General features: G+C 51.8%; 1 long non-coding RNA gene across 2 annotated transcripts, besides 1 other annotated feature; it reads left to right on the plus strand.

Moving 5' to 3' along the window:
- The first annotated feature begins 3,605 nt into the window (after nucleotides 1–3,605).
- On the plus strand, nucleotides 3,606–7,395 carry LINC02517 (long intergenic non-protein coding RNA 2517). 2 transcript variants are annotated; one of them, NR_149125.1, is made up of 4 exons: nucleotides 3,606–3,952; nucleotides 5,387–5,462; nucleotides 5,556–5,673; nucleotides 7,149–7,395. It is a non-coding gene; the product is annotated as a long intergenic non-protein coding RNA 2517 (long non-coding RNA). The 2 variants fall into 2 exon arrangements; NR_149126.1 differs by lacking the exons at nucleotides 5,387–5,462; nucleotides 5,556–5,673.
- Nucleotides 7,339–7,839: an enhancer, noted in NCBI's record as "H3K4me1 hESC enhancer chr4:8325636-8326136 (GRCh37/hg19 assembly coordinates)". NCBI's record gives its function as "activates a minimal SCP1, AML or CMV promoter by ChIP-STARR-seq in naive H9 embryonic stem cells {active_cell/tissue: H9 hESC(naive)}" and the evidence as "EXISTENCE:reporter gene assay evidence [ECO:0000049][PMID:30033119]".

The raw sequence follows: 16,966 nt of genomic DNA on the forward strand, positions 1-16,966 counted from the left end.
CCCCCTGCTGCAACCAGGGCCCCCTGAGACAGTCTCCTCCCTGCAGCCAGGCCTCCTGCAATGCCCCGCCCTGCAACCAGGCCCGCCTGGGATGAGGCCTCCCACCCCCGGCCGTGACCAGGCCCCCTGCATTCTTCTCAGCCCCTTCACCATCTCTCCTCCTGCCCACCATTGGCTTACCCTGCAGGTTGTATCACCACCCGGGACCCTCTTCCTCCTTAGGCTCAACAGTAATGCTAGTCTTGTTGTGGGCCGACAGGTGTGCAGAATAAATGTTGTGGAATCTTGGGTAAAGAAGACCTGGCGGGAGCTGAGAGCCAGGCACACACGTGTGAGCATTTGTCTAGCGTGTGAGCACGCTGTCTAGGGCCAGGGCCCCAAGCCGGGCCTGAATCAAGTATTCAGGTGTGAGTGGTTTGTTGCGAGGTGATCCCTGGAAGCCCTAGTGGGACAGCAGGGAAGCGAGACAGGGAGGGAAAGGAGCCCATGTGCCTTCTTCAGACTGCCCTGGTGGGTGCCCAGGCACCATCCTTCTGTGACCTCTGCAGTGGTGTGTGGGACACACGGCAGCCTCGCCCACCAAGGGGAGAGGGAGCTGGGTGTTCCTCCTCCACTCCTGTCGTCCCTGGCCGAGGGCTGCTCTAGAAGACGTGGCCGGCCCGGCCCCTCCAGCAGGCCCTGGGTGAGGGCAGAGAGGAGGACTCAGGCAAAGAGCTACCGGCACTTACAATAAGACACGGTCAGCAGGGTGGGGTGATGGGGGGCGTGGAAACCCCACAGGCAGCATCTGCGGCACAGGACACACCTGTGGGGATGCACACCTGAGATGCTTCAGTGCATTAGGTGTTGTGCAGCCCTCAGAGCCCACGGTTTAACCTCTTTTTGCCTTGTTTATATTCTAGATAGGAACATTTTAAGATCATGAAATATTTCAAGCACATAACAAATAGAAAACATAGTTAACCTATGAATCTATCATCTGGCCTGTCACACTGTTGCATTCTGATAATGAAATATCTAAAATATACCACAGCCTCGGTTCTGATTTCTGTCACCTGCCATTTGTTCTGCCAGCGGGTTCTATTGTGGTGGGGTCAGAAGCATGCCAAAGTATAACTGTCAGCCTTGTAGGCAAATGGTCTTTTCTCTCTAGTGGATTTTACAATCCTCTCGTTAGGCCAGCACAGTGGCTCACGCCTATGATCCCAGCACTTTGGGAGGTCGAGGTGGGAGGATCACCTGAGCCCAGGAGTTGGAGACCAGTCCGGATAATATAGGGAGATCTTGTCTCTACAAAAAGATTTAAAAATTAGGCATGAGCCTGTAGTCCCAGTTACTCGGGAGGCTGAGGTGGGAGGATCACTTGAGCCCAGAAGGCAGAGGTTGCAGAGGTTGCAGTGAGCTGTGATTGCACCACTGCACTCCAGCCAGGGCAAGAGAGCGAGACCCTGTCTCAAAAAAAAAAAAAAAAAAGATTCTCTGTCTTTGGTGTTTCAGCTTTGTCACAATGTGATTATTTATGGCTTTCATTTGTTCTGAAAAATGGTTATTGTCCTTTTAATATTACTTATCCTCATGTTAAATACATCGTAGTACATACATGTAACAGACCCCAATGTTACATACACATTACAGACCTCATCCTCCTCAGAAGGGATTCCCCAGGCCAGCCAATTCTCCGGGGCAGATGTCTGCAAACTGCAGCCTGCAGACCACATCCAGCACACAGCCTGTTTTTATATGGCCCAGAAGATAAGACTGGTTTCTATATGTTTAAAAGGTTGTTAAAAGAAGGAGGAGGAGGAATATATATATATAGCTTGCCACAAACTTTCAAAGTGAAAAAGATTACTCCTGGGGCACACTGGTACGGGCTTTTTGTAGAAAAAACAAGGAGATAAGTCTGTTTTGTCCCTAGTCTGTGTGGCAATGAAGTCTGGTTTGGTTTTGTTTCTTCATGTCAATAGAAATGATCACTTGTGGAACTCTGAGTGTTCACCAGATACCAGGCTAAGGGCTTGAAAGGCTTGATTTTTGGTTCCACATTCACGGTAACCCTGGGATAACAGCAGTGTCTGCATCCTAACAAAGTGAACGCTCAGACAGCTCAGGTAGCTTGTCCATACCAGCGTGTCTAAAACACGGCAGAGGCCCGGTGCGCTGGCTCACATCTGTAATCCCAGCAATTTGGGAGGCCAAAGCAGGAGGATTGCTTGAGTCCAGGAGTTGAAGACCAGCCTGAGAAAAATAGGGAAACCCCATCTCTATAAAAAATCAAAAAGTTAGCCGGCATGGTAGCACATGCCTGTGGTCCAGCTACTTGGGAGGTTGAGATGGGAGGATTGCTTGAGCCCAGGAGGTCGAGGCTGCAGTGAACCAAGATCGCGCCACTACACTCCAGCCTGAGCGACAGAGCCAGACCTTGTCTCAAAATAAACTAAAGTAAAATGTGGCAGTGTGTGAATTGCAATCCATGCCACTCTGACCGTGGGATCTAAGACTCTGATCACCACACTACACAGCTCACTGCCCCTCCCCTTAGACCTTGGTTTCCTTTCCTATAGAAAGAAAAGCTTCGTTGATCCGGCATCAGACCTTTCCAGAGGGAGTTGCCTGGTCTGGGCTTGAAGGCTAACAGAGATGGTCACACACAGTCCCTGGCCTCGGGGGATCTCCGTCTGGCAGAGAAAGCATCTTAGCGTGATCACTGCTCTGAGAGACGAAGCATCCAATCCAATCCAGCAGACAGGGTGTGCTTCCTGGAGGAGGTGACATTTGAGCTGGGCTTTGGGGGTGAATAAGAGGAGGATGAACTGCAAGACAGAGGAACAATGTCATGGAGAAATTAAGCTCATAGTCTTTGGGTTCAACAGATTTGAATTCAAATTCCAAACCACCTACTTACCAACTAGTAGGACAAATTACTTACCCCTTTTGAGCCTCAATACTGTCATCCATGAAATGGAATAATAAATTATCCATCTCATGGGTGGTTATGCGGGGACAATGCCTAAAATGTAGGCATTCAGTGCAGTATCTGCACATGGTGAGATCATGATAAGTAACTTGGGGCTATGATAACTTGTGTATTGCTAAGATGGTCCAAAAAGTCTTCCCAGGCCTTAGATCCAGTGGCTTTCAACTTAGTATTAATTACAATAACAAACTATCTTGAGCGTACTCACTGTAACAAGTAGGATCTCTGCTTCCTCTCTGAGGTCAGCGTGCTCACACACGCCTGGCACCATGGCCTGCCCCAGGAGGAAGCTGCCTTTTTATGAGATGAACTGCAGAGCCTTTATGCATGCATTTTTATGCTGTATTTGGTAGGAAGCACTGATGCGCCCAGGTCATCCAAGGGCTGGGTCGTGATCTGGCCTCCGTCCACTGGAAGTCAAAGCCTCTGCCAGAAGTCCATGTCATCCACAAAGAGATAAATTTTCTTCTATTTTGGTGTAGCGAAGAGGGCCTGTTCATGGAAGGGATCCAAGTTGGCCACTATCTTGACAATGTGTTTGATTTTAATGCTCAATTACATCTAAAAATAGGTCTGGGAGAGGTGACTGCCGAGGCGGCCATCCTGCTTGGCCAGCTGAAGGTTTGAGACTCAGGATGGGGTCATGGCTGAGACTATGAGGGCTGCTCGTGCATGACCCTGCCTGCTGGCCTCCATGGGCCCACTATCTGAATGTGGTTACCCTTCTCCCCAGGACCAGGTGCCACCTCCTCTGGGAAGCTTTCCCTGCCCGTCCACAGGGTATGCCTCCTTGTTCCTCTCCTGCCATCGGTTTACGTGCCTGTCTCCATCAACAGACCAGGAGCTCCTGAGGACAGGGACTGAGTCTGCCTGATTCATCTCTGCATTCCTAGCACTTACCTTGGTGCTTAGTGAAAGCTCGAACCTGCCTGGGTTCCCACCTTGTCTCTGCTACCCCCAGCTCTGTGAACTCAGGTAAGCTTCTCTCCCTCTCTGGGCCTCAGCTTCTATGCACAGGAAGCAGAACAGCCGTCCCTCCTCATGGGGGTGGTAGTGAGCCTCAGAATTTCCAGACATCCCCTTCCTTGCTGCCCCTGGACTCCTGTGCTCACATGAGCAGCTCTTTCACCTGGTGCAACCTGTACATGGGACTCAACAATAGTGGTGCACACCTCAAAGGGGTTCTGTTAGGATGAAATGGGATAATTTTGGCAAAGTTAAACTAAAACTAAAACTCCCCTCCCCAATATTAGCAACTATTGGCATTGTATGGGTCCGTTCTCACACTGCTATGAAGAAATACCCGAGACTGGGTAATTTATAAAGAAAAGAGGTTTAATTGATTCACAGTTCTGCATGGCTGGGGAGGCCTCAAGGAACTTACAGTCATGGCAGAAGGCACCTCTTCACATGGCAGCAGTAGAGAGAATGAGAGCAAGCAGGGGAAATGCCAGGTGCTTATAAAACCATAAGATCTCAGGAGACTCCCTCATTATCAAGAGAACAGCATGGGAGAAACCACCCCCATGATTCAATTACCTCCACCTGGTCCCACCCTTGACACATGGGGATTATGGGGATTACAATTCAAGGTGAGATCTGGATGAGGACACAGAGCCACACCATATCAGGCATCATCACTATCACCATCATCATCGCCATCATCAAAACCAGCATCATCACCATCACCACCAGCATCACCATAACCCACATCCTCATCATTACCACCATCAACACCATCATCATCACCATTACCCTCGTCATCACCATCCTCATCATTATCATCATCACCATCACCACCATTACCATCATCACCACCATCACCCTCATCCTCATTATTAGCACCATCAACACCATCATCATCACCATTACTGTCATCATCACCATCACTATCATCATCAGCATCATTATCATTATCATCATCACCATTACCACCATCACCATCATGATCAACATTACCCTCATCCTCATCATTACCACCATCAACACCATCATCACCGTCACCATCATCAACACCATCATCATCATCACCATCACCCTTATCTTCATCATTGTCACAATTACTGCCATCACCATCACCACTACCTTCACCATCACCATCATCATCATCACCACCATCAACATCAGTGTTTCCCAAGAAGAATCCACTTGCATAAATATAGAAGAGACAAATATTAACTTTACTGAAAATTTCCTGGGGTACAAGGGAAGGAAGGCATATCTCAGCCTCTCAGCAAATGACATGAAGATTTTTCAAGATCCCCACAGTAGGATTTGCTCCCTTTGGAACCCTAGTCATCACTGGAGGGCTGTTTTCCCCTCCAACCTGTCCCACCTGCTCTTTCACTTTCCTCTCTTCCCCTCCCAGTTCTCCCTGAGTAACGCTGAGTCCCTTGAACTGTTTTGCAGAGTCATTTTTCTCTCCCCGAGTGGCACCGGGCTCAGCAGACACTCTGGCCATGAAGGCATCTTCTGACTCAAGCAGGTCTAGATGTCTACCCCCAAGGAATCCCAGAACAGTTGATCTCTCTTTTTATTTTTTTATTTTTTGAGATGGAGTTTTGCTCTTGTTGCCCAGGCTGGAGTGCAATGGCGTGATCTCGGCTCACTGCAACCTCTGCCTCCCAGGTTCAAGCAATTCTCCTGCCTCAGCCTCCCGAGTAGCTGGGATTATAGGCATGCACCACCACGCCCAGGTAATTTTGTGTTTTTAGTAGAGACGGGGTTTCTCCATGTTGAGGATGGTCTCGAACTCCTGACCTCAGGAGTTCGCCCGCCTCGGCCTCCCAAAGTGCTGGGATTACAGGCATGAGTCACCAGCGCAGTCGATCTCTTCTATAACGTTTGTTCCATGGTGTTCTGTAGAATGTGTATCCGGCCTTGTGCTAAGCCCTGGTGCACTGCGTCTTATCCAGTCTTTCCAGGAGAAACTGTAGCTTAGAGATGTTGGAGAACTTACTCTTGCAGCACAACCCATAAGTGGTGGTTTCAGGAAGAAGATGCTTGGCACAGCACCAGCCAGGGAATTGCCCAAGTGTCAGCTGTTATGTCATCCGTGCCACTAGTTCAGTGAAACTAACATGAGACCTGGGACTAGCTGTGTGGCCTTGGAAGAGTGATCTCTTTCTAAGCCTCAGTTTCCTCACCTGTAAAAGAAGGATGATAACAGCTACCCCTGGGGTTTTGGAAGGTTGTGGAGCAGTGGGTGGTAGATGACCCTGAGAGAAACAGCATAACTGAAGCATACCCTGAGAATGACCCCATGGTCTGAGAAGAATATATGTTCAGAGTTCTGAGCTAAGGAACGTGGGAGTGGCCAACCCAGAGTTTCATTCCTTATCTGAGTAACATCTGAGCTCCTGGCCCCATCCTATGGAATGCAGGCCGTACAGGGGATTGAGACCCTGTGTTTTGGGTTATGTGAACGTTGCCAGGTGGAGGGAGGTTGTTAGGGGGAGGCGCCAAGGAAAAGTGCTACATAAACCACATGCTTTTTGCAAGCAGTTGAGGTTCTCCTGTCCACCCAGCCACCACTGGTCCATCCCTGTAAGCTTCCGTCTAATGAAGCCCTAGGTCTCGGTGCTGTCCCTGGGTCTCTTCTTCAGCCTCTTGAATCTGGTGCCATCCCTATTGAAATCAATAGGGCCTGACAGGCAGGCTGAAGAATGTGTGCAGGAAGGTCCTCTGACAAAAGGGGTTCCAACAGGGTTTTTCAATAAAGGTCCCAGGATAGTCACAGCCATGCAGTCCAGGGGGCAGTGGGTCTTGGCCACCAAGTGCAGTGGGGCAGGCCTGGAAGTGGCCTGAGGCAAACCCTGCCCCATAGTGTGCCACACACATGGAAAAGGACACCCAACCCAGTCAAAGCCTCCTCTCTTTTGGGAAGACAGTTGCTGTGCCTCCAGAGGGACACACGTTTGGATGAAGGTGGCTGTCCTGCCCAGCTTCTTCTCTGGTTCTCTTTGAATCAGGAACAGCTGAGGACCTAGGGTGGCTCAGCCGATGAGGGCACGCACTCAAGTGGTTCCCACCAGACACAATGGTGTGCATCACTTCCCCTCTCCAAGTTCAATGTCATCATATTGGTAGCTTGAAATTGGCTGTAGTGAGAGCATTTACACCATGGAAATTGGCAGACACAGTCTATATTTTGTTCTTTTGTTTTTTTCAGAGCCAACTACTAAGCCTGTAGCAGCCTCCCAAACTGCCCAGTCTTGTTCAGATGCACCTCCAGAAACACAGGGGTCCAAAATGCCCCTTCCCAGACACCCTGAGGAGTAGAACAGTGCCAGCAGGCTCCAGGGATGAGGGACTAGCTACCACATTCCCTTTCCCAAGCCTCAGTTTCCCCACCTGTAAGATGAGGGATATGGGCTCTGACTTTCTGAGTTTGGAAAATAAAGTGCTCCCCAAACTGGGCTGCTTTCTCTGCCTCAATTTTTCTTACTGGAGAGTCAAAGGCCCTGAATTACTTTCATCTAAGGGATGCTTAGGCATGGGCACACAGGACACTCACACCTTGCTGGTGGCCACACCCTCCCGCTGACCCTGCAGGACAGTTTGGCTCTGTCCGTCTATTCAAGAGGTAAATGCTCATCCCCTTTGACCCAGCAATTCCGCTCCTAGAAGCTCATTCCAGAGAATCACATACATGTGTGTGCCAAGAAGCACTTGCTCATGGGGATGTCCATCCATTCAGCTGCTAACAAGCCCTCACTTGGCCAAGCTCAAATTCTATTGTGGGGGAGGGTAACCTTGAGTGGCCTTAGAAAAACAAATTGTCGCTTCCCCAGCTCCTGCCTCTGTGAGTCACCCCCCCAAGTGCTCTGCCTGCAGCCACTTGCCCTGGCAGGAAGACCCTTGGGCAGGCCCCACCATGGCTCCACTCTGGAATGCTGGGCACTTTGCCCCACTACGCTCTACAAAGGCATCCCTTCCTTCTGGGCAGGTGAGCAGTCTCTCTATACCCCTCACCTGGCTTTCAGGCTGCATGCTCCTCTTTACCAACCTGTGGGTGGAAACACCCAGTCCTCTCCAAAACACCCTCACTCCAGTCTCTCAGCCATTTTTAGCAAACTGATGATGGGCCAAGGTTGATACACCCAGCACCCCTTAGTCTCCCCTTGATCCCTCCTTCAGAGAGGTTCTGGCTCCCTCTTCAGAAGGTGTGGGCACCCAGTATCTTTGCTCTCGGCACAAATTCTGGGCAGAGAGAGACCCATCTAACATGCCCATTACCATAGTGATGCCACGTTGACCACTCACCATGTGGAAGGCATTGTGCTGAGCACTTGATGTCCATGATGTCATCAAATCCTCAGGTGACCCTGTAACCTCATTTGTGGTCCACTTTTGCAGATGAGGAGATGTGCTCAGAGAGGTTAAGGGACATGCCCAGGATGCACAGCTGGAGGGTGGCAGAACTGAACGTAAGACTGGGCTTATCTGATTCCAAAGCCCAAGCTGTGCATACCACGCACGCTGCCTGTAAACACACCCCGCACCTCCAGCCTCTGCCTTCACTTGTTTTTCAAGTGACTAAGGGTCCTACTTTTGAGTCAGGATCTCTGAGCTGCAACTAGCCTTTGGGACAGGCTTAAGTTCAGGGCTTGGCAGTTACAGGCTGCCAATAAATATTTGTTGAATGAATGAATGCTTTGTGGCCTCTCCAGGACTGGGTTAGAGCTGGCATGAACACTCCTTACCCTCTGTTTTCTTCATCAAACCTCCCTAAGTACCTGCTTTGGGCCAGAGGAGACACGGACTCAGAGAAGAGGCAGGTGGTCTCACTGTTCAACTCCCCTGGGCCCTCGGCACAGGCTAATCATCAAATGCCGCTCCTGTGCAGGACATGGGTGCAGTCTCAGAGGTCCTCAGGTTGTCGGAGGACACAGAAGCAGGCTCCGATGATGCTCTGTCCGCCCACCCTTGGCAAGCTCACCTGCAGATGGCTTCCATCATTCCAGCTAAGGGCCACTTCTGTCTGTCTGCCTGTGGCAACCTCAGGCCACAGGACCAGCCTGGGAGTGTGCCAACCTGTCCGCACTGCAGGCCAGACATGCTGGGGAGGCAATGTCTACAGTTGCCCTCTACCAGGAGGGAGAGCAGTTTATGGGTGAAATCAGTTTTCTCGTGCCTCAGTGGGGTGTGCTCCACAGTCTCCCAGAGAGCCCCACTAGGAGTGAGCCCCAGTTGCCCACAGCTGTGACCTGTGTGTTGATGCATCCTCCTTTCTCTGACTCACTTGCCCACACCCCTACCAAGGCTTCCTGGGATCAACAACTACTTACTCCCAAAATCTTGCTCCCCAATCAGCTTTTGGGGAAGTCAAACTATGCTTATTAATGCAGTCAGGAAGTGGCAGAGAGGGGACATGTCCCCTTCCCCAGCCTGATCCCCTTTACCAGATTCCATTGCAAGGGTGAAAAAGCTCAGTGAACCATAATGGGGCTGGTCAAGTGCTTTAAGCAAAGGAGCAAGCTCTGTGGGCCCAGGAAATCAGAGAAGGCTTCCTGGAGGAAGTAGCACTGGATTCTAGCCTTGAAGGCTTAGCAGAGTATGAGGGGCAAGTCCCTAAGTGCCTTTAGGCCTCCTTGAGGCCTTTCCACTGTGGGTTCTGTAAACAGAGAGACTCAACTGTGAACTGCAGTTGAATTTTTTGACAATATCCACTCCATCATTTATTATAAAGGCCTTTTAAAGTAAAAGACCCCAGCTGGAGGAATAATCCCCTCTTGGATGGGATCTAAGCCATGGAAAATGGGATGCTTCCCAGGTGTTCCATCTCTGCAGATATAAAACACAGAGGGGCCCAGATCTCAGGCCAGCCTGAACTGAGCTTCTCTGCAGGATGATCTCCTCACCAGAACCCCTGGACAGGAGGGTCTGCCAGATCCCAGGAAGGAGATGTGTGAAGCCAGCCTTGGTGACACTCCTGGGCCCCATCCAGTCAGTTATGAAAAGTCTCTGCTGCTAAACTCATCTGCCTCAGCCTGTCTCTGGCCTGTCTTCTTTCTTTCTGCATTTCTTCCTTTTAAAAAAGTTTATTGCTCTTTTCTAATGTTAAAAGTAACACATACTGATTGCAGAAAATCCAGAAAAGCACAAAGAAAAAAATTAAAATCACTCGTAATGTCAACATGCAGTGACATCTACTGATGTTTGAGTGTGTGTCCATATAGTCTTTTTGTAAGGTCCTGGACAGAGCAAGCAAGCAGTCTTTTTTGATATCCACAGAATAACTTGCTAGGGTCTTGATTGGAATGGCATCGGGTCTATAAAGACTGACATCTTGATGATATTGAATCTTCCTATCCATGAACATGGGATATCTCTCTATTTATTTAGTTCTTTGATTTTCCAGTCTTTTTTCTATGTCTGAATTTTGTTGACTGAAAACACCCTCTAAGTAGGTTTCAGTCCTGCTTTCTCCCTTAATGTTATGTCATGTTAAGCCTCTCTCTAAGCAGAGATGTTAATTACTGCCTCATTTTCCAATATGTGGAGACACAGAAATGTGCCTAACCATTCACCATTATTGTACTTCTAGGTTGTTTTCAGGTTTGTCACTAACTATAAAAACAATAATAAAATCATGCTTGACTTTTGTTCATTAAAATTTCAAAGCAGTTCAGCAAAAAGCTCAGAAAACAGCTCACGCACACTCAACTAGCCATCTATATTACTGTGCAATCTTCACCCCCTCAGTGTCATCGCTGAGACCTACTGTATGTCGGGCCCTGGGAGAATCAGAGCCCAGGAAGCTCCTAAAGTATGGGATCAGCCGGGTGCGGTGGCTTACGCCTATAATCCCAGCAGTTTGGGAGGCCGAGGCGGGCGGATCACAAGGTCAGGAGATCGAGACCATCCTGGCTAACATGGTGAAACCCCGTCTCTACTAAAAATACAAAAAATTAGCCGGGCGTGGTGGTGGGCACCTGTAGTCCCAGCTACTTGGGAGGCTGAGGCAGGAGAATGGCATGAACCCGGGAGGCGGAGCTTGCAGTGAGCCGAGATCATGCCACTGCACTTCAGCCTGGGCGACAGAGCGAGACTCCATCTCAAAAAAAAAAAAAAAAAAAAAGTATGGGATCAGGGAAAGGGCCCATCTGCCAATGATCAACCAGTCTAAGTGTATGGGGCTGACCACTTTCTTGAGGGATGATCTATGATTTTTCAAAAACAGCCTCAGATTGATTTCTTTGGGGGCTCTTATGAGACTCTATTCCACTGTTGACACCTTCAGAATTCACTGTTGCTGAAAACCCTAAAACTTTAGAACAATTCCTTCATCCTATTTTCCTGTGATTTTTTTTTTTAAATGAACTTCTTACTGGCTGTAACCTACACACAGAAAAGGGCTCCAGTTGTAAATGTGCTGCTTGAAGAATTTTCACAGTGTAAGTACTCCATGTAACTAGCACCTGATCAGAAAGAGAACACTACCAGCCCCCCGGGGATTCCCAAGTAGAGTCTAGTCCAATGATTCTCAATCAGGGGCAATGTTGCCTACAGGGGCATTTGGCAATGTCTGCAGACATTTTTTATTGTCATAATTGAGAGGAATGCTGCTCGCATCCAGTGGATAGAGGCTGGGGATGCCGCTCAATATCCCACGGTGCGCAGGACAGACCCACAAACAGAATTGTCTGCCCCTAAATGTCCAAAGCACTGAGGTTAGGAAACCCAGTTCAAATCTACCCTAACTTCTAACTGCACAGACTAGTTAGAATAGTTAGACTAGTTGTGCTAGTCAGGCTGCTTTTCATTTAATCCAACAACTGGGCCTGGGTAGGTTTTGTCTTACAGAGTCGGCTTCTGATTCTCATCAGTTACTTCCTATCTTCTCCTCAACTGAATCCAGACTCTCATCAAATCCTGCCTGATTTAGGGCCAAAGCTCCCCGGTGGCTCCCACCCCTCGCTCCAGCCCAGGTGCAGAATGGTGCCTGACCTAGAACAGACATTCCAAGGTTATGAATGAATGAATAGGGGGATGAATAAATGATGCCACCCCTGCCTCAAAGCCTGCCAAGTCAGCATGATGCTCCCCCAGGGACCAAGGCAGCTCACCATGGTGGGATCCTCACAGGGTCAGGGGCTCTCGGGAAACATGAAAAGCTTTCTCTCAAAGTTGAGAAGCCCTGGGAGGAGTGATGGGTGGGCATCCCTGGTGTTTCTCCCATGCTGGGGACCCAGAGATAGGCCCAGGAGGCACCGGCCAGCCCCAGGACTCCCCAGCACTGTGAATGACCTGGAAACAGGTGAGCTGCATGACAGGGATATCTATGGCTAGAGAGGCAGGAGGAGGATAATCCCTGGAGGAGGCCAGGAGGAGGCTGGCAAAACTCAAGGGACCAGGGGGACGAGGAGGCTGGTCATATGCTCTAGAGCTCTGCCCGCTTTGACTTCCCAGGAAGGCAGGAGACTGGACTCTGGCCTGGGGGAGGAAGGGATGTACCAGGTCTGGGGAAGGCAGTGCCAGGAACAGGCCCAACAGGCACACAGGGTCACTGGGTCCCCCCTCAGCGATCTCCCTCATACTCACTGCTGTGCAGAGGAACTGGACCTTGGAGACAGCACAGGCCAGGTGGCTCTGTCCTCCTCTGGGCCTGGACCCCACAGTCCCTGGGACGCAGAGCTGCTGGGGCGGCGTCAGGCCCCGCAAGATGACATCCTGCACTTCCACGGCCCTGAGAGTGGGCAGCTCCTTAAACTAGGGCCCTGGGGCCCACCCTAGTCCTAGCCCTACGCAAGCCACCTAGTTTTTCAGTTAGGGCATGGGGGTGTAGGGAGGGTGCGATGGGCAGGAATGACTTGGGAAACAAGGACCCGCTTAGAAGGTAAGGCCTCCAGGGCAGGGCCCCCTGCCACTTGTCTGCAGAGCTCCAGCCCCAGCACAAAGATGCCAATGACATCCTGCACAGAACTGGCACAGATGCCAGGGAGTGTGTGATGGGATAGTTAGCCCGGGCACCAACTAGGATGGGGCAGATAGGTTTGGCCTGGCGTCCTAGCTCCCCCTCCTCCAGCTGTGAGACCTTGAATGCGTCAGGGGATCTCTCAGGCCTCAGCTTTCTCCTCTGTTGAATGGGTATAGGAGTCTCCACCTCACAGGCTCATCACGGGGAGTCTCAGATTCCCTGTGGGCAAGTGCCATGCACAGTTGCTCAGCTCAGGCTGGGCGGGCATTCACTCTGTCCACTCTCTCCTCCCTTCTCCAGCGCGTGAGTCTGAGACATGAACAGCAAAGAAGGCCACCTCCCAACCCCTCGGCACACACAAGTCTGTTCAAGGAAGACTTATGAATGGCTGTCCCTGCTCCTAGACTGGCCAGCTGGCCATGGCTGAGGTCCCACAGGCTGGCAGACCTGGGCGGGGTGAGGTAGTGTCTGGTGCCGGGCCCGGGTCTGGTGCCTGCATGGTGACAGCAACAAAAGCAGGGCCGGGTGGTGCATGGGGAAGCCCCCGGGGAGACTCTATGACACAAGCCAGTCCCCCTGAGCCACTTCCCCACTTGGGACCCTCAACCTGTGCAATGGGAGAGAAAGCCCCAAGCTGGCCTCCTGCCCAGGGGACTGAGAGGGAAGTGGGTGGGAGGTCCTCAGGCACAGTGGTACTCCTGGGGTCCCGCCAGCCAGACCATTCAAGGTCACAGGGACAGACAGCAAAACTTGATTTTGCAAAAACAAGGTCACTTGGTTACAGCAAAACACCTGCAGCCAGAGACGCCACAGAGAGTCACACACAGTCCCATGGACAGAGGCACACTGACCTGGAGGCACCCTTGGCCCTGAGCAGACCAGGCAGCCTCAGAAGCCCCGGGGCCTGGGTACTCGGGCCTGGGTGGGAGCAGCCGTAGCGGGGAGGCCTGGTCATCAACTGGCGCGTCTGCAGAAGGCTCTGGCGGCAACAAGAGTGACACCTGGTCTCCTGTGAGGAGCCAGCACTGGATATGGGCTTGAGGTTCATGGTCTCCCTCTGGTTCTGTGCAGTTACTGCTCTGTGCTCCCGGGGATGGGGCCCAGGCCGTGTGGGGACGGGGCGCAGCAGGGAACCCTGGATGGAGCTGCCACAGTGAGGTGAGCTGCCCCAGACCCACAGGCAAGGAGACCCCAGAGGCCTTTGGGGGAGGTGGGGCTGAGGCAGGGGCAGAGCCGAGACCACAGTGGCCTCCATCTCCCCGATGGATACCAGGAGAGGAGCAGACACAATGGCTTCATCCTTCACATTTTAAAGAAGGAGCCACTGAAGCTTGTGACCTGGGCATGAGAGGCATCCAGGCTGTGGCCTGTGGCCCGGGCACAGAGAGAGGGGCTAGGGAGCTGTGGGGCAGGCAGGAGACCACTGTCAGTGTCTGTGACATGCGTGTCCACACACACCCTGGACTCACGTGTCCACACCCATTGAACTCACACGCCTCACCCCACTTCGAAAGCCAAGCCCTTGGGGAGACATGGGCAGCTGCTGGGGTGGCTCCCCCTCCACTCTCCAGGGAGCCTTCTCCAGCCGCCAGCTGGCACTGTGTCCCACACATGCCGTCTCTGAGCTCCAGTGTCTAGAGGAAGGAGTGAGAACATCATGTTCACGTCAGCAGGAGGTCAGGATCTGTCCTCGTAGCTCTGGACATGCAAAGCCACCTCCCCCTGGAAACCTTGTCAGAACCAAGAAGGCTGCTTCGGAAGACTCCCAGGGCTCACTGTGGTGGGCAGAAGGCCAGAGGAAGGAAGGAAGGGGGCTGACAGGCCCCCAGGTACTCGCAGTGAAAGCATTCCCGAAAGCACTGCTTAAGCACCATTTGTGTGCCTGGCCCAGTGCTGGTCACTTGAGGGCATCAGGGATCAAAATTCTCACTGTCAGCCAGGAGCTCCTGGGACCATAGAGGGGCGGCCTTTACCACAAGGCTGCCGAGAGTGGAGGAGGCTTGTCTTTGAGGTGCAGGTGTGGCCAGGGCCCTGCCAACACATCCCTGGATCCATCCGTGCCTGGATAAGGCATGATCTCCTGTTAGTCTTATCCATTGCTGAGTCAATCAATGGCCCCTTTGGCTGAAGGTGATTTGAATTGTGTTTCTGCATCTTATGATCAAGAGAGTCCAGACAAACTCAGTCACTGGTGAGGGTTTTCTGTATCTGAAAGTCATGATCTGAAGACTTGGTCCGAGGATGCCAGGGAGGAAGCAGCTGCCAGTGAGTCAGCCTCAGGTGCTTGAATCTTGCTGAGCCCTTGTGCCCCCTCTGCCCATCTGACCCAGGCCACGCGATGACTCCCATGGGCCCCAGGAGCGTTGGCTTCAGTGGACGTCTCCCTCCATTAAAACAAAAGTTAAAACTGCGTTTTATAGCTGTGTTGGTACAAAGATGAACAGTATGCAGGCTGGATTCACTATTATACATGCATCATTATTATATTCACTTTTTCCTCTGACTTTGAAAGAAATTGAAACATTACCATGTGTGTTTTCCCAGCCAGATGGGGAGTCAGCCCTGACCTAGTCAGGATCCGAGAGGGTTGGTCCCTCAGAGACTCAGATGTTATATTCTATGGACAGAATGTCTGTGTCCCCCAGAGTTCACGTGTTGACACCCTAACCCACAATGGGATTGCATTAGGAGGTGGGGCGTTTGGGAGGTGATAAGGTCATGAGGGTGGGGCCCTCATGCAGGGGATACGTGCCCTTATAAGAGAGGCTTGGGAGATGCTCACGCTCTTTCCACCACATGAGGATGCAGGGAGAAGGCAACTGCCTGCCAGCCAGAAAGAGGCCCTCACGAGAACCCCACCATGCTGGCACCCTGACTTCAGACCTCCAGCCTCCAGCACTGTGAAAAAGAAATGTTGTTTGTAAGCTGCCCAGTGTATGGCACTTAGTTCTAGCAGCCAGGATGGACTAAGACACGTATTCATCCTGCAGCACACCCCAAACGTAGGGCAACCCTGCTGCCGAGGCAAACTGCCCACTGGGCACACTGTGCAGGAGCCCGTGAAGGGGACAAGGGGTTGCTGGACATCTGCTAAAATACCCACAGGCACTGGCACAGGATGGCCTGGCAGAGTGAGACCACTGGACCACACAGGAAGAAAAGTCCACAAGGATGGAGATCCGAGAGGTGTGATCAGAAAAAGGTGATGCTAGTAGCTCAGGTGGCCCCTGGAGACGTAGAGGGAGCCCCCTGCAGAGTACCTGGCCAGGTGCCCAGTGACCTCCTCACCATCTCCACCCATCAGCCCCATCCCTGGCACCCAGAAATCACTCTGGACACCTGGCTCCCTCACCCCACACCTCCAGGAAATCCACACCTCCACAGCCCTTATCCCAGTATTCCAGGCCCTCCACATTCTTGCCCTGCGTGTCTCTGTCTCATGGCCACCTTCCTGAGCCGTGTTCAACTGCTGGCAAGAGAGAGACGTCTGGAGCAATCCTCACTGCGTCTGGAAGGCCCCAGGCTACCTGGTTCAGGTTGCTGGACGGCTTCCATGGCCCAGCCCTACCCAGGGCCTGGATCTGGCCAGCGTTCACAAGCTGGGTTTCTGCACCCCCTTTCTAGAAGGTGTGGGTTCCCTGGCTTGACACTGGTGAGCACACTGGACTTGGCTGTGATGATGGTCCCAGGAGGACGGTGAGTGATGCTGCCCAACAGGGAGGGCAGGGGCAGGGTAGGTGCCAAGTCCTCATGAGAACCACAGGGAGCCAGCAGGCCCAGCTCGGCTTTGAGGGAAGCTCCTGCATCCCAGAATGCTGCAGCTCTAGGGTGGGGACCAGGGGGCCACAGTCTGCATGAGGTCTCAGCTTCTTGAGGATGCACTAGAGGCCTGCTCCAAGCAGAACCTCAGGAGGTGTCCATCATGAGTACCCGGGGAAACGAAACTCCCCTGGCTCTTTTGCAGGCCACCCAACACCTGGCAGTAAGAGGAATAATAGCAAATATGGGAACCCACTGTATGCTGCTCAGTGCTCGCCAAACCGCATCTCATTATTGTTTTGGTTCTC

Source organism: Homo sapiens, chromosome 4 (assembly GCF_000001405.40).
Source record: "Homo sapiens chromosome 4, GRCh38.p14 Primary Assembly".
NCBI lineage: Eukaryota > Metazoa > Chordata > Mammalia > Primates > Hominidae > Homo > Homo sapiens.